The sequence below is a fragment of the Homo sapiens genome, chromosome 9 (genome assembly GCF_000001405.40).
Source record: "Homo sapiens chromosome 9, GRCh38.p14 Primary Assembly".
Taxonomy (NCBI): Eukaryota; Metazoa; Chordata; class Mammalia; order Primates; family Hominidae; genus Homo; species Homo sapiens.
In genome coordinates this window covers 81,620,076-81,642,095 of record NC_000009.12, presented here as the reverse complement: position 1 = coordinate 81,642,095, position 22,020 = coordinate 81,620,076, and the positions used below count along the sequence as shown (strand labels likewise).

General features: G+C 41.8%; 1 protein-coding gene across 23 annotated transcripts in view, besides 3 other annotated features; it reads left to right on the top strand.

The window, feature by feature from the left end:
- TLE1 (TLE family member 1, transcriptional corepressor) overlaps positions 1–22,020 on the top strand; it is a 105,865-nt gene that overhangs the window by 47,452 nt on the left and 36,393 nt on the right. For 10 of the 23 annotated variants that reach the window (XM_006717259.5, NM_001303104.2, XM_006717262.2 and 7 more), the window contains 3 exons: positions 7,795–7,999; positions 8,732–8,748; positions 21,539–21,655. In XM_006717259.5, the coding sequence (XP_006717322.1) occupies positions 7,795–7,999; positions 8,732–8,748; positions 21,539–21,655 (339 nt within the window). Of the gene's footprint in view, positions 1–7,794; positions 8,000–8,731; positions 8,749–21,538; positions 21,656–22,020 lie in introns of those variants that run through there. The other 13 variants (XM_047423817.1, XM_005252163.3, XM_047423814.1 and 10 more) reach the window with 3 other exon arrangements.
- Positions 17,825–18,348: an enhancer, noted in NCBI's record as "NANOG hESC enhancer chr9:84238663-84239186 (GRCh37/hg19 assembly coordinates)". NCBI's record gives its function as "activates a minimal SCP1, AML or CMV promoter by ChIP-STARR-seq in naive and primed H9 embryonic stem cells {active_cell/tissue: H9 hESC(naive and primed)}" and the evidence as "EXISTENCE:reporter gene assay evidence [ECO:0000049][PMID:30033119]".
- Positions 19,147–19,762: an enhancer, noted in NCBI's record as "NANOG-H3K4me1 hESC enhancer chr9:84237249-84237864 (GRCh37/hg19 assembly coordinates)". NCBI's record gives its function as "activates a minimal SCP1, AML or CMV promoter by ChIP-STARR-seq in primed H9 embryonic stem cells {active_cell/tissue: H9 hESC(primed)}" and the evidence as "EXISTENCE:reporter gene assay evidence [ECO:0000049][PMID:30033119]".
- Positions 19,763–20,378: an enhancer, noted in NCBI's record as "NANOG hESC enhancer chr9:84236633-84237248 (GRCh37/hg19 assembly coordinates)". NCBI's record gives its function as "activates a minimal SCP1, AML or CMV promoter by ChIP-STARR-seq in primed H9 embryonic stem cells {active_cell/tissue: H9 hESC(primed)}" and the evidence as "EXISTENCE:reporter gene assay evidence [ECO:0000049][PMID:30033119]".

Sequence of the window (22,020 nt, the reverse complement as noted above, 5' to 3'; positions counted from 1 at the left end):
ATCTTTGTCTTTTTGTTACCCACCATTTCAGCAGGTTTGAGGTGACATTTCTTTCTTTCTTTCTTTTTTTTTGGAGATGGAGTTTTGCTCTTGTTGCCCAGGCTGGAGTGCAATGGCGCGATCTCCGCTTACTGCAACCTCTGCCTCCCAGGTTCAAGCAATTCTCCTGCCTCAACCTCCTGAGTAGCTGGGATTGCAGGCATGCGCCACCACACCTGGCTAATTTTGTATTTTTAGTAGACACTGGGTTTCTCCATGTTGGTTGGGCTGGTCTCAAACTCCCAAACTCAGGTGATCCGTCCACCTCGGCCTCCCAAAGTGCTGGGATTACAGGCGTGAGCCACTGCGCCCAGCCTGAGGTGATATTTCATTGTGGCTCTGATTTGCGTTTCCTTCATGATTAATGATATTGAGCATTTTTTTGTATATCTGTTGGCCATTTGTGTGTCTTCTTTGAGAAATGTCTGTTCAGGAGGTCCTTTGCCCATTTTTAAATTAGGATACTTATTTTTTAATTTTTGTACTATTGAGTTTTTTGGATGTTAACTCTTATTTGAGGTATGGTTTGCAAATATTTTCTCCCATTCCTTAGGTTGCCCATGCATCATTTTCTGTGTGCTCCTGCATTGAGATGGGGCCTTTAGTGGATTGTTATTTTAGTTTTTGTTATTGTCTTCAAGTGGCTGGAGAATTCTTGGCCCCATAAGCAGTTTCTTCCTGTTGATCACCCTTGCCCCTCTTTACGTGAGAGGCCATTCACATAATGGGAGGTTTTGCGATAACTCCTGCAGTAGTGTCCTTGATGTTTTCTGCTGCCAGACAGCTCTTTTGCACGTGTTTACGTAGCATACCAGTTTTCTTCTTTATTTTTATTTATTTATTTATTTATTTTGCTGTCTCCCAAGATAGGAATTGAGTGTTTTAAAGAACAGGGAAATAGCAGAAATCAAGGAAGAGTGATTTGGAGAGAACTGTCAACAAATGCTCTTTTTCACGTTTTTGTCCCCTTAAAAGAAAGTGTTTAAATACCGGGTGCTATAAATGCCACTTACTGTCACTCTTAGCATCAGAGGTGCCACTTAGGGGCATGGTTTTAGTTTGGGTTGGGTTAAGTCTGTGATTTTTATGACATAGTTTTTCTTGGGGTTACAAAGCGGGTGAAGTTTCAGAAATTAAAGTTGATTCCATGGTTGGTGGTAAGGAGCTTAGTTTCCGGTCAGGAGAAGGTGGGCATTGGCCTGTGTTTTCATACTGGGTGTCCTTCCCAGTTGTTAGAGGCTACAACAACATGGTGATAAGCCATGTGCTGTGACTGTGTGTAGAAACTATACCATTACAGTAACACTCTGAATGTAAACAGCAAAGTCAGTTTCATTATAGTAATATAATTGACCCAAGCTGCACTAAGTAAAATGTGAATTAAAATTCTCAATGCGTGGCTGTTGTTTGACATGGATGAGATCGCTTTATTCCTTGTGGGTTTTCAGTATCATTAACTCAGGGTTTGGCATTTGTTTTATTTGTCTCACTCTCAGCCTATTCAAATGATTTTGGTTAGAGCAAGTGCACTGATCTCTTTATCCCCAAATCTGAATGTTTGTCATTCCCTTTAGGGCCCCAGAACACCAGTATGTAAAATTTCCCAGTGTAGTCCTTTCTCAAATTGCTTTGTAAAATACAAGGATTTTTTTTTTTTTTTAATTTTTGAAATTGTTAGTGGAATCAGCTTAAGAAAGCAGATGTTCATTTTTTTGTGTTGTGACAGGGTACTCAGATGGCGATGAAAGGACAGTGAATGTGATTGAATGTTGAATAGTATTTTTATTTTTTAAACAAGAATTTGGCAAGTCTTTTAGCATACAAGAACATGAATTCTAATTAATGGCACAGAATATCAGCTTAGGTCTAAATTCAAGTTAGTGAACCTTAGCACTGTTGACATTTTGGGCAGGATAATTCTCTGTGGTGAGGGCTGTCCTGTGCATTGTAGGATGTTCACAGCATCCTTGGCCTTCACCCATTAGATGCACCAGTAGCATTCTTTTCCCTCCCCCGCAGTGACCTCCACACATGGCCATATGTCCCTGAAGCAGGGAGGGGAGGGGTGTCAAAATTGGTTCTGCTTGAGAACCAGTGGTCTAGAATCATAGCCTGAGAAACCAGCTATATTGCTAGAAACTGTCATTGCTTATCAAAAATGCTTTTTCTCAGCTGGGCGCGGTGGTTCATGCCTGTTGTAATCCCAGCACTTTGGGAGGCCGAGGTGGGCTGATCATTCGAAGCCAGGAGTTCGAGACTAGCCTGGCCAACATGGCAAAACCCCATCTCTACTAAAAATACAAAAATTAGCTGGGTGTGGTGGTGCTCACCTGTAATCCCAGCTACTGTGGAGGCTGAGGCACAAAGAATAGCTTGAACCCGGGAGGTGGAGGTTGCAGTGAGCCGAGATTGCACCACTGCACTCCAGCCTGGGCGACAGAGCGAGACTGTCTCAAAAAAAAAAAAAACAAAAAAAAAAAACAACTTTTACTAATCACTTTACAAACTTTTGCATGTGTGTTCTATGTTGTATAAATCTACAAGCATTTTGACTTTTAAGCAAATTTCCTAATTACTGTAAACTAATGCCTAGATAGAAGAATAAATTTCCTCATCCTTCCTGTCATGTTGAAAAAAACATCTTGCAGTTTTCCAAATGACGGGCAGGTTTTGGTTAGAGAGTACAGATGCAGGCCAGCTATGGTAGCTTACGCTTGTAATCTAGCACTTTGGAAGGCCGAGGCAGGAGGATTGCTTGAAGCCAGGAGTTCTAGACCAGCCTGGGCAACATGGTGAGACCCCATCTGTGTAAAAAAAATTAGCCAAGCTGTGGCCAGGCACAGTGGCCCACACCTGTAATCCCAGCACTTTGGGAGGCTGAGGCAGGAGGATTGCTTGAAAACAGGAGTTCCAGACCAGCCTGGGCAACATGGTGAGACCCCATCTCTATAAAAAAAAATTAGCCAAGTGTAGTGGTGCACACCTGTAGTCCCAGCTAAGTATGTACTTAGGAGCCTGAGGTGAGAGGATTGCTTGAGCCCAGGCATTTGAGCTGCAGTGAGCCATGATTGCACTGCTGCACTCCAGCCTGGGTAACAGAGTGAGACTTTGCTTCAAAAAAAATGCATGTATCGGCTGGTGTGGTGGCGCACGCTTGTAATCTCAGCACTTTGGGAGGCCGGAGTGGGAGGATCACTTGAGGTCAGGAGTTGCAGACCAGCCTGGCCAATGTGGTAAAACCTCATCTCTACTAAAAATACAAAAATTAGCTGGGCGTGGTGGTGTGCACCTGGAATCCCAGGTATTTGGGTGGCTGAGGCAGGAGAATCGCTTGAACCCAGAAGGAGGAGATTGTAGTGAGCCAAGATTGCGCCACTGTATTCCAGCCTGGGCAACAGTGAAGACTCTGTCTCAAAAAAAGAAAAGTGTGCATAAATTCTCCTGATTGGCAGAGCTATTGGGTTTTGGCTATATAGTAGTATCAGTATCACTTTTTCCTAAAATATATTCAAGTAGCATCCATACTTTTTCCTTTGTTGAAGGTGATAAGTACAAGATTGTCTCAGGTAAGCCTTGTTGAGAAAAAATGGGCTTCCAAAGACAGATGGGACAGAGGAGCGCTGTCCTTTTGGAGATAGCTGTTTTACTCTTCTAGATTTGGACCCTCTACTCATTTAAATAAATATGTTATCTTAGAAATGACACTTTGTGTTTATAATGTTAAGCATCTACTTCTGAGAAAAGCCAGAGCCAGCACTGTTAGGCTTGATTCTTCTTGACGTGCTTCTTTGGAAGAGAGCTGGGGGCAAGGGATAGTGTCCTTTTGCAGATGTAGGACAGGCATTGAGAAGGGGGGACAGGAGATGGTACTCATGCAGTCTAAGCGTAAACTCCCCCGTCACTGCCATTAGGCCTGTTGGTGAGGGTGGATTTGTCTCTGTGTATGTAGTATCAGGTGTTCTCAAGAGCATCTGGTTAGCTGAGCAGTGGGGGAAATGCGAAGTCTCAGTAGAGAATGGCTTTGCCCTTTTCCTTTCTTATTCTGGAGAACATGATTGAGCTGCTGGGGTTACAGGAGAAATCTTGTCCTAGGAAACAAAAGGTTTGTAGCCCTCATTCTGGCTCTGAGCCCTGTAGCAAGCCTCTTGGCTTTGAGCCAGTATCGTCTGTGAAATGGGTAGGTATCATGATACCTACCCTCCCTGACTCAGATGTGTTCCAAGCTTGTGCCAGACGATGGACACTTAGATATTATCTAGGAGCACTGCCCTGCAGAAACAAGAAGTCGAATATGAGGTGGAATGGCCACATTTCCTAGAATCACGACATCTTCAGCAGTTGTGATCCATTTGATTGTTACTTAGTACTCCTTTCAATTTGATAGGATTTTGCTTAAAAAAAAAAAAAAAAAAGAAACTTTCATTGTAGCCAAGCAATGGATGGAAGAACCCAGTTACCTCTAATAACAGACAGTGAGCTGTTTGTTCAGGGGACCTAGAAGGTCAGATTAGGGTAGAGGTGGAAGTTACCCATGGCCAGTTAGGCTGTTGAATGTTGCTGTTGATAGATATTAGTCAAACTGTTGGGTTTAACCACAAAAGTTTACTTCACAGCTGTGGCAAAGCCCCATTATGTAAGCCATCACCTCTTCACAGTAAGATATCAGAATCTACTACCCAGTTCATCTTTTTTCTTTTGGAGACTGAGTCTCACTCTTGTCACCCAGGCTGGAGTGCAGTGGCACGATCTCAGCTCACTACAGCCTCTGCTTTCCAAGTTCAAGCGATTCTCCCACCTCAGCCTTTCAAGTAGCTGGGATTACAGGCATGCACCACCACGCCCGGCTAATTTGTATATTTTTAGTAGAGACAGGGTTTCACTATGTTGGTCAGGCTGGTCTCAAACTCCTGACCTCAAGTGTTACACCCGCCTCAGCCTCCCAAAGTGCTGGGATTACAGGCATGACCCACCTTCCCCAGTTCATCTTTCTGAAAGCTAGCTTGGATTTATGGGAGGGGAAATCTTTTTTTTTCTTTTTTCTTTTTTTTTTTTTTGAGACGGAGTCTCCCTCTGTCGTCCAGGCTGGAGTACAGTGGCGTGATCTCAGCTGACTGCAACCTCTGCCACTCGGGTTCAAATGATTCTCCTGCCTCAGCCTCCCCAGTAGTTGGGATTACAGGCATCCGCCACCACACCTGGCTTATTGTTGTATTTTTAGTAGAGACGGGGTTTCACCATCTTGGCCAGGCTGGTCTTGAACTCCTGACCTCGTGATCCACTTGCCTTGGGCCCCCAAAGTGTTGGGATTATGGGGGTGAGCCACTGTGCCTGGCCGGAAATCTTTACTTTGTTAGTATCTAAATATTACCGGAGTATGTTTGGTCTGACATAAGAATCCCACCTCTGAAGTCATCTTCTGGTGACTCCATTCTAGATTTTTAGGGGAGTGGGGGAAGCAGGGAGAGGGGTGAGAGGGTGGCATCCTCCACCCTGTAGTTAGATTCCTTCCCCTCTGCTTAGCCTCTCTCATCTTCTTTTAATTAGTGCCGTGCTTAATTACCCGCTGCACTTGCTTGTGTATGCATCATTGCATTCCCCCCACCCCCCACCCAGAAGCCTGACACAGCTCTTACTCTCCAAGTAATGATAGTAATTGCTGGTAGGGCAGTCCTGTTCCTCATCCTTCTCCAAGCACATTTCTTATGGCAGGTGTCTAGTTCCTAATTAAGTGCTAATGAGCATGCCTAGTGGACCGTGATGCCACTGCAAGCTTCTTCAGTTTTATGTCTCACTATTGCCAAGCTCTTAAAAGGTGACAGAGCAAGAATTAGTGTCTTTGGGATGACAGGAAGGTGATTTTATGCATAAAGAAATTGTTATTATGATCTCAAATGGTGAATGAGTAGTTTATACTTTCCAAGAATGCTATGAATGCTGCCTGTTCTGACCTCATCCCCTTTTCCATTTTGCTTCTAATTAGAACCATGCTCTCTTTGAAAAGAATGAAAGTTTATAAAGATGGTTGGCTGGCTCTTAGACATTTTTATTTATTTATTTTTAAATAGAGATGGAATCTCCCTATGTTGCCCAGGCTGGTCTCAAACTCTTGGGCTGCAGTGATCTTCCTGCCTTGGCCTCCAAAGTGTTGGGATTATAGGATTATAGTGAGCCACTGTGCCTGACCCTAAACATTTTTAGAAAAGTTGGAGTGCTTGAAAATTCATTGTAAAATTTCCACAGACACTGATTTCTGCCTTAAGATGGTGTTTTCTCTAACTTTTGAGGCTGGGAACTGTGTTTGGGATTCCATTAAAAATCAGTGGGCTGGGTAGAAATGACTGAAGATCTGGCATGAAGATTTAATATGTTCAGTGCACGCAAAGGGATAATAAATAAAATGAGTAATTGAGTCCCAAGGAAGTGAGCACAAATCAGAATCTGGAGAATTTTCTAACATTGCACCTTAGAAATTGAGCCTTAATCATTTTTACTGTCTCATCAAAAATAAGTTTTATATTGGACAGCTGAAATGTGGCCAGATTCATGGTACAGGGGCCATTTCTTGGATACTTTTTCATTTCATACAATGTGCTTTTAAATATAATGTATAAGAGCAATGATACTGTGTAATGAGAACAGACTTAGAACTTCTGGAATGGGTTAAGCAATGGGGGCAAAGTGCAGTCATGGAAAAGGCATTTGGGAACGGGGGCTTGGCTCGCTGGCTGGAGTCCCACACATAAGTGCTTTCCTCATCCACGGTCCTACCCATTCTAGGTCTCAGTATTTTCATCAGTCACAATGAAAGAGTGGGTTTGAGTTGTGGAGCTTGGTAGGAAGGAAAGGATAAACAAAGTTTCGTTTCTAATGTTTCTTCCAGCGGCCACAAGCCTGGCTCCCTGAGATCCTCTCCCCTGTCTGTGGCAGCATGGTAAACAGCAGCCTTAAGAGTTGCTCCTGTACTGACTGCAGTCCCCTCTTGCCTAGGGATAGAGTTTCAGCAATTTAGTCAGTGCCTTTGAGCCTTCATTCCTTCTGGGAAATGGGAATTGCAATACTTCCTCACAGTACTGAGAGGGATTGATGGAATAAGGGGGCATAAGTGCCTGGGTGGTGCATGAGACACCCACCCAGATTACTGGGTCTTCCTTTCCAAATTCTATTCCTTAGTGATAGTATTTTGGTTTTGTCTCATCATACTACTGTGGTAAGTCAATGCAAGGGTGTAGGGTGAAATGGAGTTACCTGGTGACAGGTTGAGAGTATGGCTACTATATTGTGGGATGCATCCCCACCCCCATTTTAATCCCTCTGAAAACAGCGTGAGTCTGAAAATCTGTGGCATCTTAGATTGAGTGACATGCTGGATCTCATCCCTGGAGGCGCATAAAGACAGAACTAGCTCATGTTTACTTACTGATGTAGCCAGCCTTGCTTAATAATAAACAGCTCCCCTCTCGGAGTGAGTGATACCAGAAAGTGACAGTGTAGATGTGAGGATTATATTTTGGGAAGGTGGGAGAGGTAATTGAGCAGGTGAAAGCTTTTGATGAACTGAAAGCACTAATCGCATTTTTTCCCCTTTCCTCCCTCTCTTTCTTGGCTCCTTTTGTGTGTTTGTTGAACCTCCTGTTCTGTTTCCGCCTTCCCCTCCTGTCATGTCTGTTTTCCCCTGGATGCCGCCTCCATCGCCATCACTGTCACCACTACCTCCTCCTCCTCCTCCTTTTTCTCTCTCACCACCACCACCAACAGCAGCAGCAGTTGCAAGCTCAGCATCTTTCTCATGGCCACGGACCCCCAGTTCCCCTTACGCCTCACCCTTCGGGACTTCAGCCTCCTGGAATCCCGCCCCTCGGGGGCAGTGCCGGCCTTCTTGCGCTGTCTAGTGCTCTGAGTGGGCAGTCTCACTTGGCAATAAAAGATGACAAGAAGCACCACGATGCAGAGCACCACAGAGGTGAGAGGCCGGGCAAGCCAGATTAGGACTTTGTCCTCATACTCTTACAGTGCTGCAAAGTTGTGTGCATCGCTAAAGAGAGCCCCAACCTATACAGAGAGCAAACAATGAGATAAGAGGAACTGTCGCAAAGCTTTCCACTGAAACACAGGTCACCCTGGAAGTTTGCAGGGTTTGCTGTGGGCATCTGTAGATTTCTCGATCTCGTTAGATTGCAGGCATCTTGACATCTTGGCAACTGCCTAGTTAATGCCAGTGGCCTGTACCATATTATGGAAAACTGTTAACTGCTTAATTGGGTAATTTTCAAAGAAAGTAATGTTGTTAAATGGGGCGAAATAAGAAGTTAAATTTGAAAGTGAATGTGTTCAAATGAAAGGTTTGATAATTGCATCTGTTACTACTTAGTTTCATAGGCTTTAATTCTAGTATGCATTAAATATTGGGCAAAATTGCACTTGACTAATTTTTTGAAGAAAAGTAATTTATTCTGTCAAGAAATAAAAAAATAGGCTTTGTGTATGGTTAAACTGTAAATCTTATGTTTACAAAATACTGTAATTTTCAGGAAATCACTGTATTAGGAATGTGCAATGACTTATATAAATAAAAGCCATTTTTAAAACTGTTTGGGGCTTGTGTTCTAATTATTCCCCCCTTTTTTTTATTTCTGTTCTTGCCTCTGTGTCTGAACGGGCATGTCTGTGCGTTTCTTGGTAACCTCGGGAGCAGACAGAGAGCCGGGCACAGTAAGTACTCAAACGCCTGCTGCACACACACACACACACACACACACACACACACACACGGTCCCCTTCTGACAACACTTCTCCACACAGGCACAGACAGACATGCACACTCTCCCTGTCTCTCTCAGTGACCTGGCTTTTTTCTTTTACTTTTTTTCCTTTAAAATTTCTTTTTCTTATATGACTGTTCGCTCTGCTCTTGTCTTTTTACAAAACTTGCATCAGACAAGAGAGGCATAATTTGGAGGCAAAACTATTTGCTGTGATTACTTACTTGGAAATACACTTTGATCTGTATATTCCCCTGCCTCACTTTAAAAGTGTTAATGGTTGCATTCTAAGTCTGGTTGACTGTAGTTTAAAAGAATATTCATTTTTATATCTTAAATCAGTTTTAGAGGCAAGAGATCACAATCCCTTTGTGAAGTTGGTTAGTAATGTACCATTTCTACTTAAACCAGTCATCCTCTGTGAATGCATCTTGGTTGCTAGGTTTCCATATCTTGTTTTCTTTGCATAATTGTCCTTGGAATGTGAACTTGATCTTATATCTATTTTAGACATAAGAACTGAGCATACCAGTAAGCTCTTAAAAAGAAGGAAATTCAGTGGACAGGGCTGTGTGCGTAGAGTTCATGTTTTCACCAGCCTAAGTCACACTCATTTTTCATGTGTACATTTGATCTGTACATGCATCTGCCAGTTAGCTCTGGAGAGACCTGTACTTAAAGTGTGTCTCAAATGTTGTGTAGCAAATAGAGAGAATTCAGCCCCTTTTCAGCTGGGATAACCTACAGGTTTTGCCTCCTTCTTTCTGAACATAGCAGTATTTTGACTGTGTTTAATATGGTAAAAAAAAAAAAAAAAAAAAAGGGATACTGAACATTTAAATCTGATAACTTTTTTGGTATAAGTTTTGGGGGGAAGATAAAAGTTCAGGGTTTTTTCCCCCCTCTTCTGTGTAGAATAGTAGCTACTTTTAAAATTGTCTTTGAGACAGATCTTGGTATATTTCATGTATCTGGATGTGCGTGGAGGAGTGAGGAATGGTTGAAGGAAAGGGTAGCTAGTTTTAAAATTCTTGTCCTATAAATTTCTCTGGAAAATGTTGAGAGGGGATTGGGGGGACAAAAAATTATAGCTGGGAAATAAAATATTCTACACACAGAGTACAGATAAGTAAACTGGCTTTAGTTTATGGAGGAAGCCTTATTGTTTTGCCATTCCAGGGTTCCTATAGATAGTCTTTTTTTTTTTGAGATGGAGTCTTCGCTCTGTCACCCAGGCTGGGGTGCAGTAGCACTATCTCGGCTCACTGCAACCTCCGCCTCCTGGGTTCAAGCGATTTTTCTGCCTCAGCTGGGATTACAGGCCTGTGCCACCACACCTGGCTAATTTTGTATTTTTAGTACAGACGGGGTTTCTCCATGTTGGTCAGGCTGGTCTGGAACTCCCAACCTCAGGTGATCCGCCTGCCTCAGCCTCCCAACGTGCTGGGATTGCAGGCCTGAGCCACCATGCCCGGTGAGATAGTCATCTTTTATGTCTGTTCAGTAGAGTGTCAAATTTAAAAACCTAACCCTGGATGAAATCACAGAAGAAATTTGGGGAAAGCCCATGCCCTTTAGGCTGTTATGCGTTTTAAATCTATTGAACTTATTCTAGCTTTGGGACTTCAATTTAACATGTTTTCTTCAGTACTCCTGTTTCACCTTAAATGGCTATGTTCATTGAGTGCATACCATATATGTAAGGCATTATGGGACACGCATCTGCAATTCGAGGTATGTAAGCATGCAACAAAGCCCTTTCCCAGAGAATCGAGGAGGAGTGAGTGACACAATTACTAAAAGAAGCAAGACTGGAGAAAGTTTCAGCAAAAGTCCTATAACTTACTGGTATCAGAATTGTGGAAGTGATACCACGTGGTATGTGCCTCTCTGAAATGCCAGGGGTGTGAATAGGCAGAGGTTTGTATGCTTAAGCTAGTAGAGATGTATTTTATACCTCTGTGTCTTTCTGAATTTCCGAATGTGTCGGATAACCTCCTGTTGGTATTTTTGACAGAAAAATATATGCAAGTACTTAATTCATGGGTTCATTGGAGTGGGTGGAGGGAGGGTTATTGGTTGTCCCCTTCAAGAAGTATGAAGCAGTTCTTGAGTTACAGGCAACTGTGGGTTATTTGTAAGTCTATAAGTTAGGGTTAGCAGTCAACGAACTTTCTAGTTCAAATGTGGATTTATGTGTTTTGGACATGTATCTTTTTTATATCAAATTTTTGACAAGTTCTAATCATTTCAATGAATATTTTCAGAACAAGTATATATGCTGTGTTTCCTGCCTAATTACTGCAGAAAACTGTTGGGCAATGATGATTAAAATGGGAAAACTACACTAATTGTAACCTAAGCATTTAATTCAGTCCATAGAGAGGAATTAAACTGTTCACTGTCCACATTAGTGGGATTTTGCTACAGTTACATAAAATTAAGTAGCTCTTCAAACTTTGTATAAAAATGAGTATGAAAAGCAGTGGATAATGAGATGATGTGTACTATTAGTGCCTAAAATATTATAGTACTTATCTATTTAATAAAGTGGTTTGAATTAGAAAGTCTAATTTTACTTGGCAGATTAAGTCAGCCAATTGCTGTTTGCTGCTGTTTTTTAATCCAGTGAAAGGTTAAGGGTGGTTGCTACAGGCCAGTGATTTTCAAAGCCTTATGGCCTCATGATCTTGATACCCTTGAAATCAAATTATTGAGGGCCCTGAAGAACTTTTTGTTTATCTGGGTTATATTTTGATATTTACTAGGTTAATATTTTGATTTTTGATACTTACTGGGTAAGAAAGAAAATTAAATCACTTAAACAGATGAAGAGCTACTTAATTTAAATTGTGTTAATACAAATAACATTATTAATGAAAAATAACTTTTCCAAAGCAAAAAAAATTATAGTGGGAAGAGTGGCATTGTTATGTATGTCTACAAATGTCTTGAATGCCTTGTAGTTTATTGAGTTTTAAAGAGGATAGCTGGATTCTCATCCTCTGCATTCGCTCTTTTGTGGTATTTAGTTGACGTTTAGGAAGAGAATCTGCCCTCATAGATTTGCGAGGGTCTCCGGGACCCTTAAGGGATCCTCGGACCAAAGTCTGAGAACCTTTGGCCATAAATAAGACGAACTCCTTACTGTTTTTTTTTTTCTTCTTGTTTGTCTTTCTATATTGAACATATTATTTATACCAAGTGCAGAAATCAGAGACTGATGGGATCCGCAGGGAATGTGGGTGTGTATGGATTTTTATCTGTGAGCCTAAAACTGGTTGGTAGGTAGTTTGTTTATTTTTAGTGGCAGAAATTAATTTGCTAGTTAAAGATTTTATGGTAGGAAAACAAATGAGCCTTAAATAAGCAATCTGTTTTAATGTGAAGCCTAGGAAATAGAAGTGTAATCAGTGCACTGCATAACAACACTTCCATCAACAGTGGATTGCATATATGATGGTGGTCCCCTAAGTGTATAACACCGTATTTTTACTGTACCTTTTCTATGTTTAGGTGTGTTTAGATACACAAATACTTACATTGTGTTGTAGCTGCCTGTAATATTCAGGACAGTAACATGTACAGGTTTGTAGCCTAGGAGCAGTAGCCTAGGTGTGTAGTAGGCTATACCACCCAGGTTTGTGTAAACACACTATTCGATATTTGCACAATGATGAAATTGCCTGACATGGCTTTCTTACAAAGTATCCCTGTTGTTTAGTGACACATGGCTGTTCTAAGAGTGAAAGTTTTTATGGAAACTGCTTTAAAGTTTCTTATTTCTGAAAGGGATGAACAATAAAGCTAGCAACTTTATAGAGGTTTGGCTTTGGTTTAAAAAATTATTTTGGCTGTTTTAAAATTTTGATTTCTGTTTTTTCTTATATAAGTGCAGCTCTTGAGCAGAGAAATATGAAATGACCTAAGAAAGGCCATTATTTCTTAGTAGCATTCAGTAGTAATAAAAAAATAACTTTAGATATTTTAATTAATTTAAGGATAAATTGCATTAAATTTTGGCTGAAGGGAATGCTATTTTTATCTGCTTGAAAGAGATAATTGACAAAAAGTTGTATGGTTTAAAAAAATTTATAATAGGGCATGCTTTTAAATACTTTGAGTCATTTGACAAATATTTGTTGAGCCCTGACTATGTGCCCGAGTACTGTTTGAGGTGCTGCGTATACTTGCTATCATTTTGCAGTGATCCATTTTATGTCACAGTTAAACATTTGTTGAATGTAAGGCACTGAAATACCTAGCTAGTGTGATCACTATTTGGAAAAGGGAGGAGACTCTGGAGGAGACTCCAGAGCAGACGGTGTATAGACCTACGCAGTGGCATTCATGGATGGACTGGGTGGGTCCGTGCTCTTTTGCAGAATTCTGGGGAGAGACTATAACTCATCAAATTCTCAGAAAGGGCTTCCTAACTCAGAACAGTCTAAGCACCACTCATCTGTCTTTCAGGTCATATGGCACAGCACCATGGTTTTATCAAGGAGGCTGGGTGCATCCGGTCACATACTTAGTTAACAGATTGAGAGTTAGTAATCTGAGCGACCATGTTGTCACTCTGTAATTGACTTCTAAAATCACCAGGAGTTTGTATTTAGAACTTGCCTAGAGATAATTATGACAAACATCACCTTGTTTTATATAAAGTGGTTTCTTTCTTTTGTTACTCTTCTCTAGCTGTTCTTGACTAGTTAATTTTGTCAGAGGCAGGACCAAATCCTAGTTAGGACCACCCATCCATCACTTTGTCTCAAAATGACAACATTATAGAAGGCAAGGAGGAGTTAAGATGTGAGGCTTGCTTTGGAAAAGAATACTGTTGGTCTTTTTCTGGAAAAAAAAAGAAAAATCACGTTCATTCCCGGAGGCCTATGGGAACCATGGCGGCATCAGGGGTGGTAGAATGAACATGAGTTTTGTACAAAGGCAGACTTTAGTGGAATTCTGGCTACACAGGCAAGGCTTTTTCATCCTTTTGTGCCTTCCTAGTCCCATCTATAAATGGTGATAGTAGTGGTTGCCTCACAGGGAGGGGGTTAGGAGGCCTCAGGTGGGAGGGTAGCAGACAGCATAGAAGGTGCTTAGGGAATGCCCTCCTCCCACCGCCATTTGCAGAGTAGCAAGACGGCAGTGAATGCATCATTCATTACATTCAATGCAGTTACTTCTGGGTTTCTCTCCTATTTGTTTTTTAAATTAAAACAATTTTCTTTTAATTTTTGTACAGTCAGAGTCTCAGTATGTTGCCTAGGCTGGTGTCGAATTCCTGGCTTCAAGTGATTCTCCCACCTTGGTCTCCCAAAGTGCTGAGATTACAGGCGTGAGCCACCGCACCCAGCCTTGGTTTTCTCTCCCTTTTTAAAATACACATTACACAGGCGGTTATGGAAATAAGGGTCCACGTGCCAAGGTGGCAGTTACTGATGGTTCTCAGCATGTCAGCACCGTGAAACTGATCTCAGCTGCTTATTAACGTGATCACTTTCCTGATAATCAAATTTCTCAAAAGTAGACACAGCCTAGGAGGTACTGTTTTTGCCTAAATATTTATGAATTAATCATGACCTGACATGTTAAGAGATTGCCTGGAAATAAAGGCTAAAACTGAGATGAGTCACCTAAAATTTCAATTTTTGGGCACAATGGAAAACACTTAGGTTTTCTTAAGCAGACTCCTGGGCAGGTTTCCCTTCTGGCCAAGTTTAAAACTCTGCTTAAAAAAATGGTTCTTCTTTGAGAAAGTTGGCATCACTGCTGTGAATAGGGTGAACCCTTCAAAGGAAAGCCCCAGTGGTTTCTAGATTGTCAGGAGCCTGTACCAGGTAGAGGTGTCTGTTTACTGTGGATGCAATAAGTCAGGTGGATATCGGGGCCTTGGTGGGACTGGATTAACGTTCAGGTTTTATTGCACTGTGATTACAGTGAAAATAGGGCATCTTTACTCTTAAAAAAAAAAAAGTGAGAGAACAATTTTTCCCTCCAAAACCTCTTTTTGACTTGAGTTTGTGCTCTGTAATTAGAAAACCTGCAATTGTGAGCAGGTTTTTTTCTTTTGTCCCTATAATCTTTTTATCATTTCCTCACTGGGACATAGGTGGACAACAAACTCTGTGTCCTCATCTTTGAGATAAGGAGGTATAAATGTAAGTGCTGTCCGATACACAGATGACTTAGTCAAGTCCTGACCTAATGGCTTTTTAGTTTCAGGGCCATTTCTTGCATTAGCAAGTATTTCAACAGGGGCTGGAGAGCAAAGAGGCACAGAAACAGCTGAGCAGCTCTTAGAAACCATGCTTTCAAAAAAGCTTTGACATAGAGATTTTGTTTTTGCTGTGATTAGGTCCTGAGCTGGGGAACGGCAGTGTCATGAGGTTATTTAAAAATTAATTTTAAATAATTGTATTTATTGTCTGCTCCAGAGTTTGTTTTGTTTTGCCTGGAGGAGGGTAGAAGGGCCAGCTACAAATGAGAGGGTGGTGACGAAGGCATCGTGGTTTTAGCACCCTGTCCTGCCTCAACATTAACCGGCCCTGTGTGTCACCTGCACAGCTATCTTTCCATGAGTCCTCCTAACTGAGTCACCCACCTGGATTCTACAGTGATGAGTTGCAAAATCGAGTTGCAGGAATGCACTGGTTCTTTCCCATAGTTTGCATTTAAACTGTGTGAAACATCAATGTGTGCCCTTCAGACTGGCTGCACAGGCAGGGTTCTGAGATATGATATGGTTGCCAGTGGACAGATTTTCAACTTTGTCCATGTTGTTAACAAGTGGGGATCTCATTAGTTTTATGGGTTAAAAATACATTAGTTGAAGTGTTAGGCAGAGTACGTGAATGACCAGTTGGACCGTAGCAAAAAGTGCAGCGCAGGGTGATGGCTTGATTGACACCAGGTGTAGATGGAGAAGGCACACAGATGTGATGGGGTGCGTCGTTACCTAATTGTTTTAATGTTCACCGAGAAGTTAATTGTCAGTGTGGAGTGTGCTAGTAAATTAGGTTCCTACTGCCTTAGTGTAACTGAGGATAAATGAGGTGTCACGAGTTTCCAATCTGTACCTCTGACACAAACACTTTTCCTGCGGGGAGGAGAAAGTTCCCAAGGGGAATCAGCATGGCAGCTAAAGAAATCCATTTGAATAATGTGCTTTATTTTTGCATTAGGGAAACCTGTCTTGCTTTTGCTGTATGCATGAATGGGTTTTCCTTTCCATTTTGCTGCTGGTGGTTTCAGGGTTCGAACTTGTTGGCAGAGAAGTTGCTTGGAGGTCTTAGGATTCATGAAGGCCTCTGTAACTAGTGTTTGATAGCATTGACAGGGCAGCATTTTATTAAAGTTGCTTTTTTTTTTTTTTTTTTTTTTAGTAGTTTCTGAGGTTACTTTCCAGAACATGTTAGTAGATGTGAACAACCATTACTGTTAAATTGCTAAAGAAAAGTCAAATTCTTGGAACAAGACTATAAAGACTGGTTGTTATCCTTATTGAAGTGGCTGGGTCTTTGCTACCTTGGTCTTGAATAGGTGTTTGGAGCATGAAATAGACACATCACTTGTGTTGAATGGTCAGGATAAAGTAATACAGAGTCCCAATCTTAACATTTTCTTTTGACGCCACTGGGTGCTCTCTGAGGTTCAGTCAACCCACCTACTTACATTGTAAGTTCTTACATGAAGGTATGTGGTTTCATAATTGTGTTGGAATGTTTAGTTTTGTTTTATTTTAAAAGAATATATTGGCCTCTCGCATCCAGGAAATTCAAACACTTCGCCAATTATCTGGTTACCTTCAGGCCATTGAGCTACCACAGGGAAAGATCCTGCTGTGTGTTTAATAAAACATGGTTCCCAGAGTTAGGAAATTGTGCTCAGAATTTGTCTCAGAATGCACACAGGCTGTAATATCAGAAGATCTGCCATTCCTCTTTTCTTCTGACCAGCTCTTTTGCTGTCATAGCCATTCTGTTCTGTCATCCTATTAGTGCAAGTTAGATGTAACCCTTAGGAAGCATATATTAATAAATAGCAATTTGCTTGTTGCCAGTGAAGATGCCCTCTTGAGATCTGGTGTTCTCACAGAATTCCAGATTTTCGTGAGAGAGAGAGTCCAGTCCCTTCTTATGGAGTATATGGTTTCTGTGTTCTTGCACCTCATCTAATCATCTCAAGTACTTTCTATATAAAAGTTATGCCAGTTCTGCCCATTTTTGGACCCTCTTTATGTTTCTGATACTGAGCATTCTAGGAGGATCTTTTCTTTTAGACTTCTCAGATATGCTTCTCCCTTTATGTACAGGGTACTTGACCCTGTACCCACAAGTGTATGCCATATGTAGGTGTAGAAAATTATTTGGTTTTAGAATTTCAGTTTGTTTTGAACAGTGTGTTTTCAGCTGATTTGCCCAGGTTTGTAATGTCCTCCGTGGGCTGTATTACTCCTATTTTGAGTTTCTGTAGGAGATGTAAATAAGGTGATTTTGTTTATTTGTTTATTTTTTTAATTTTAAATGAAAACTTACATACAGTCTAGAAACCTCAGTCCTTGGGACACTTGTAATAGAAGTCTGCCCAACATTTAAAGTCTTTAAAAAAATCCTGGCAGATATTTACATTTTACCAGCTGCAAGGTGAAATAAAACTTTGGGTTTCTTGGCTGGAATTAGAGTACATCAGTCAGGATAGTAACACTGGTTCTCATGTTGATCAAAAAGCTGATTCTCGATTAAATATTTATTTGGCAAATAAATATTTGAAAAATGAATTCTACTTGATGAATCCTGTTTGGTAGATTAAAATCTTTCAAAGTATAGACTCTAGGAAGAGGTGTCTGCAGTGGCAAATAGGTCTGTAGGATGATTACCTCTGGTGATTGGCATGCCATGAAGCCTGTGTGTACCTGGGCTGCTTTGTCACTCTGCTGAGGCCTTTTTCAGTGTTAATTTTGGGTTCTGAGTGGAAAGGCAGGAATTTGGGACTATTCCTAGTTCATTTTAAAGTAGAGTTTAAAATGTTCATTTAAAAATTACACGTTTCTATTTTTGGTATGGAAGACATCTAACCTGATTAAAGCAAGGCATTCTGTTGGTTAGGAGGTAGGTCAGAGAAACCATGCGTCAGGTATTATGTCACATTAGAATGTTAAGTGCAGTAGTTGAAAGAGCCAGGGTGGATTTTAAGTAAGTTTTTGGGTACAAGTGTTCCATGTATGTAAACTTGAGTTTAAAAATCACTCTTCTGAGAGGGGAGGCACTTTGGCTGTAATGGGAATCAGCAGGTGGTGGACAGAGCCGCTTGGCCTCAGGCAAATCACCTCTGTCTCTGGACATCCTAGTCCTCCAGATTAAAGGAGCAGGAGGAGGAAGAGGAACGAAATGTCTCAGTGGTTGCTTTGGCCTCTTCTCAGGTTTGATTCCAGTTATTTTCTGTGTTTAGAAAGCATGACCATTTTTATTTTTTTGATTTTTATTTTTCATTTTATTATTTTTTTGAGGCAGAGTCTCACTCTGTCACCCAGGCTGGAGTGCAGTGGCACGATCTCTGCTCATTGCAACCTCCGCCTCCCAGGTTCAAGTGATTCTTGTGCTGCAGCCTCCTGAGTAGCTGGGATTACAGGTGTCTACCACCACCCGGCTAATTTTTTTTTTTTTTTTTTTTTTTTTAAGTACAGATGGGGTTTCACCATGTTGGCCAGGCTGGTCTCGAACTCCTTTTCACAGGCGATCTGCCTGCCTCGGCCTCCCTAAGTGCTGGGATTACAGGCATGAGCCACTGTGCCCGGCCTCATGACCATTTTCAAATAGCTTAATGCAAAGCAACCTCTGTTTCATTCTTTTGCAAATGGTGTCCTCATAAATGTTGCCTCGATTTGTTAGAATGGGACCCAGACAACATAGCATTCGAAATTTTGGAGGATCAAAATGACAATTTAGTCAATACCCAGGTTTAGTCTCTGAATTCTCGAAATATGTATAAAGTAGCTCTTAATGGCCATCAAAATGACTGTATTCTACCCTGGAGCCATAAGCAACACACAGTAGGGAGTGCACGAGGAGAAATCACAACATGAGGGAAAAACACCTCAAGAAATGCAGTACCCACAAAGTCACTTTTGGGTTTCTGGGAACAAATGAGGGAATCATGAAGGTAAGGGTCCCCCAGGCAGTAGTTTAAAAACCAGAATGTTTGCTGTTGCTGCCAGCGAAGCTCATTAGGCTGGAACTGTTTGCTTATATCAAGAACAACAATGAAAGCAGCGTCAGGGCTGGAAGAAGTCAGGGGCAATTATACACAGAAAACTGGGTTCATGGGAGCAAGAGTAAAAGGAAGCGGTCTGTTTTTGGTGGGGTAGACTTTAGGTGGAAAGCCTGCCGGGCGTCCGGCAGCTGCGTGGGCCAGGGATCCCTGGGTCTGAGTGTGGTGTTTCTGGGCCTTTCCAGCCCACACTCTGCTGCCTTGTTTTGAGTCAGTTTTACAGCATCAAAGGTATGATGAGGCATCTTGTTTTGTAACTTGTTGAAGTCTGCTGTTGAATGGGGCCCATTTTCAGATAAGCAGGGGTGCTAATTACTAGCCCTGTCCACCACATTTAGAGGAACTTTCAGAGCTTTTCAAAACCTATTCAGATTATAAGCTTCATTTAAGCCGCTCAAGCGGAAATTACAGTAGTAACTTTGAACACATAGACGCAGAGGCCTCAAAGCTTGACAGTCTTAAAGGTCCAGCCACGGAAAGGTTATTGTTTCTAACAGAAATTGTATTGTTTCTAACAGAAGTGTAGTTTACTTTTACGTTCACAGTACCATTTGACATCATTAAACGACAACAACAAAAAAAAACAAGACATTAAGAAGCTGTCTTGGAATGGCCCTGTGGCTTGGATGCGCAGTGCTGATGACAGCAGGAGGGCTTGGAAGGCTGTGGAGAGAGACTTGAACTTAAAACTGGTCAGCACACCCAGCCTCTGTGCCCCATTTTGCTGGGCACTTGGGCGGATTTAAAGTTGAATAAGATACAGCCCTGCCGTGGATGCTGCACAGAGTCTGGAGGAGGAGACCTCGGGGCTGAAGTAAACTAGGAGGGGTGTATTTAAACACGTTTCCCATGTGTGAACAAGCAGCTGCTGCCCCGGCCCAGCTTTTCAGAGGGCGTGTTAGCACTTTGCAAGAGTTAGGTCTCCTGCAGCCTTGTCAGCTGGGGGTCTGGGTTGGAGGGGTTAGCTTTTAGCGGACATGTATCTAGGTAATTAGTTCGGGGATCCAGCCGGCTCACCTTTCATCCCCAAACACTGTGGTAAAGACATTACTTAGAGCTTCTCTATATTGAATTGCGTTGGTCCCTCCCAGCTGCTTTTATCTAAGCCTCCTGGCATTTGTGTAGCTTGAACAGTCATGAATAAAAGAGCCCAGCTCCTCTAGAGTCAGTCCCTGAGGCGGGCCAAGAGGCTTGGGATTGCCTTCCGGTCCTCAGTTTTGATTTCCTCCTGCATATGGTTGAGCTGGAGACAACCCTCCCATGGTGGGGTCCATGGTTTTCAGGGGAGCTTTGAGGGCTGGCCACCTGGCTGATTACCTCTGGCTGGTTAGGAATGAAACTCAGGGCTTTTAAAAAGATACCATAAAATATTTGCTCCTGTTGTATACTGTTGCATTAGATGTGGTCTAACTTAAAGGTATCCCCCAGCCCCTTCTATTTTAAATTGTGGCAGAGAAAGGTAACATAATTGTCTGTTGGCCCTGGACACTGTCCTCTTAGTGCTCAAACATCTTTCAGAGATTGGGGTTATCTGGGCTTTGTGAAAGGAGGTTTTTGCACAGCTCATTCAACATTGTTCAGGGCAGTAACACATCACTGAACAAATTGCCCCCTTGCATATGCTAATCCCACACTTAAAAGAACTCATTGTAACATGTTCTGATGCTTTAGCCTGAGGGGAGATGGGAATTGAAGAGATGTCAGATCATGTCATGTGACCCCAAAATATCTAAAATGCCTGTTTTCTTTGGGTCAACAGTTCCTACTCGGCATATGCGAATGAAAGTATCCTGTGTCATTTGTGGAAAAGATTAGTCCTTGTTCCTGCTTTTGTGTGTGGGAGCTGGCCTTGCTATTGAAGATTCACTGGCTGAAATTCCCCCCTTAGATCTTAAATTTCAGTGCTATTGGCGAGGAACACCAAGTCTTATTTTCAACAATAAATTAAAAGAATTCAAAAGAGTTCCTTCATTGTTGCTGTGGAAAATGTGATTTGCCTTTTAGGAAACCATGCTGTTAATCCCACCGCTTCCTTTGTGCCTTTTTAGAGTGGTACACATTGACTCTTACAGTTAAAGAATATGTCTAATAGAGTAATCTCAAGATTTGCTCATAGGCCATTCGTATTCCTGACCAGGAAGTCGCAGTGGGAAAGAATAAAAACACATCCACATACAACACAGCAAGCTCCTATTTCTCAAACAGTAAATAGGACAGAAGCACATTTCCAAGGAGGCCTGAAGAATCCACCTAGCTTTGGATGGTTTGATTGCAAAGTCAGGGTCTCCCTTTTAAGTGTGTAAACCTGTAGATATGTTTGCCATCAAAGTCTTTAGATGAGATGAATTAAATGGAATGAAAGGCTGTGTAGGTATCACCTTTCAAAAATAGTTCTCACATCGAGGTTGGGTTTCATGTGTACAAAGAGGCTTGGGAAGAAATCTTTGATTAATTTTTTTGTCTTGCAGAGTAATTCCCTCCTGGTCCCAGACAGTCTAAGAGGCACAGATAAACGCAGAAATGGACCTGAATTTTCCAATGACATCAAGAAAAGGAAGGTGGATGATAAGGACTCCAGCCACTATGTAAGTAATTAAAGGACTTGAAATAATATTTGTTTGCTTACTGCTCACCTGAGTATCCAAGTATATTCTAAGATCTTAGTGATAATTCCATGTCCTTAAACATAATACTGTAAAGAGGAGAGGTTCTTACATTGTAGGATAGTATTTCCCTTTGGGGCTGTAAATTATGCTTCTGCCGGGCTCAGTGTTAAGCTTTAGACTTCCTGCCTTTGTTACTCAAAAGGGAATATGAAAATGCAGGGCTGACTTTGTGGGCTGTGCGGTTGCTCAGGGCCCTGCTCTTGTTAGGAGTCCCCCGGGCCCCCCGCCTCCCTTGGTGTAATGCTCTGATCTCACCATCTTTGCGTTCTCAATTTTTGAATAAG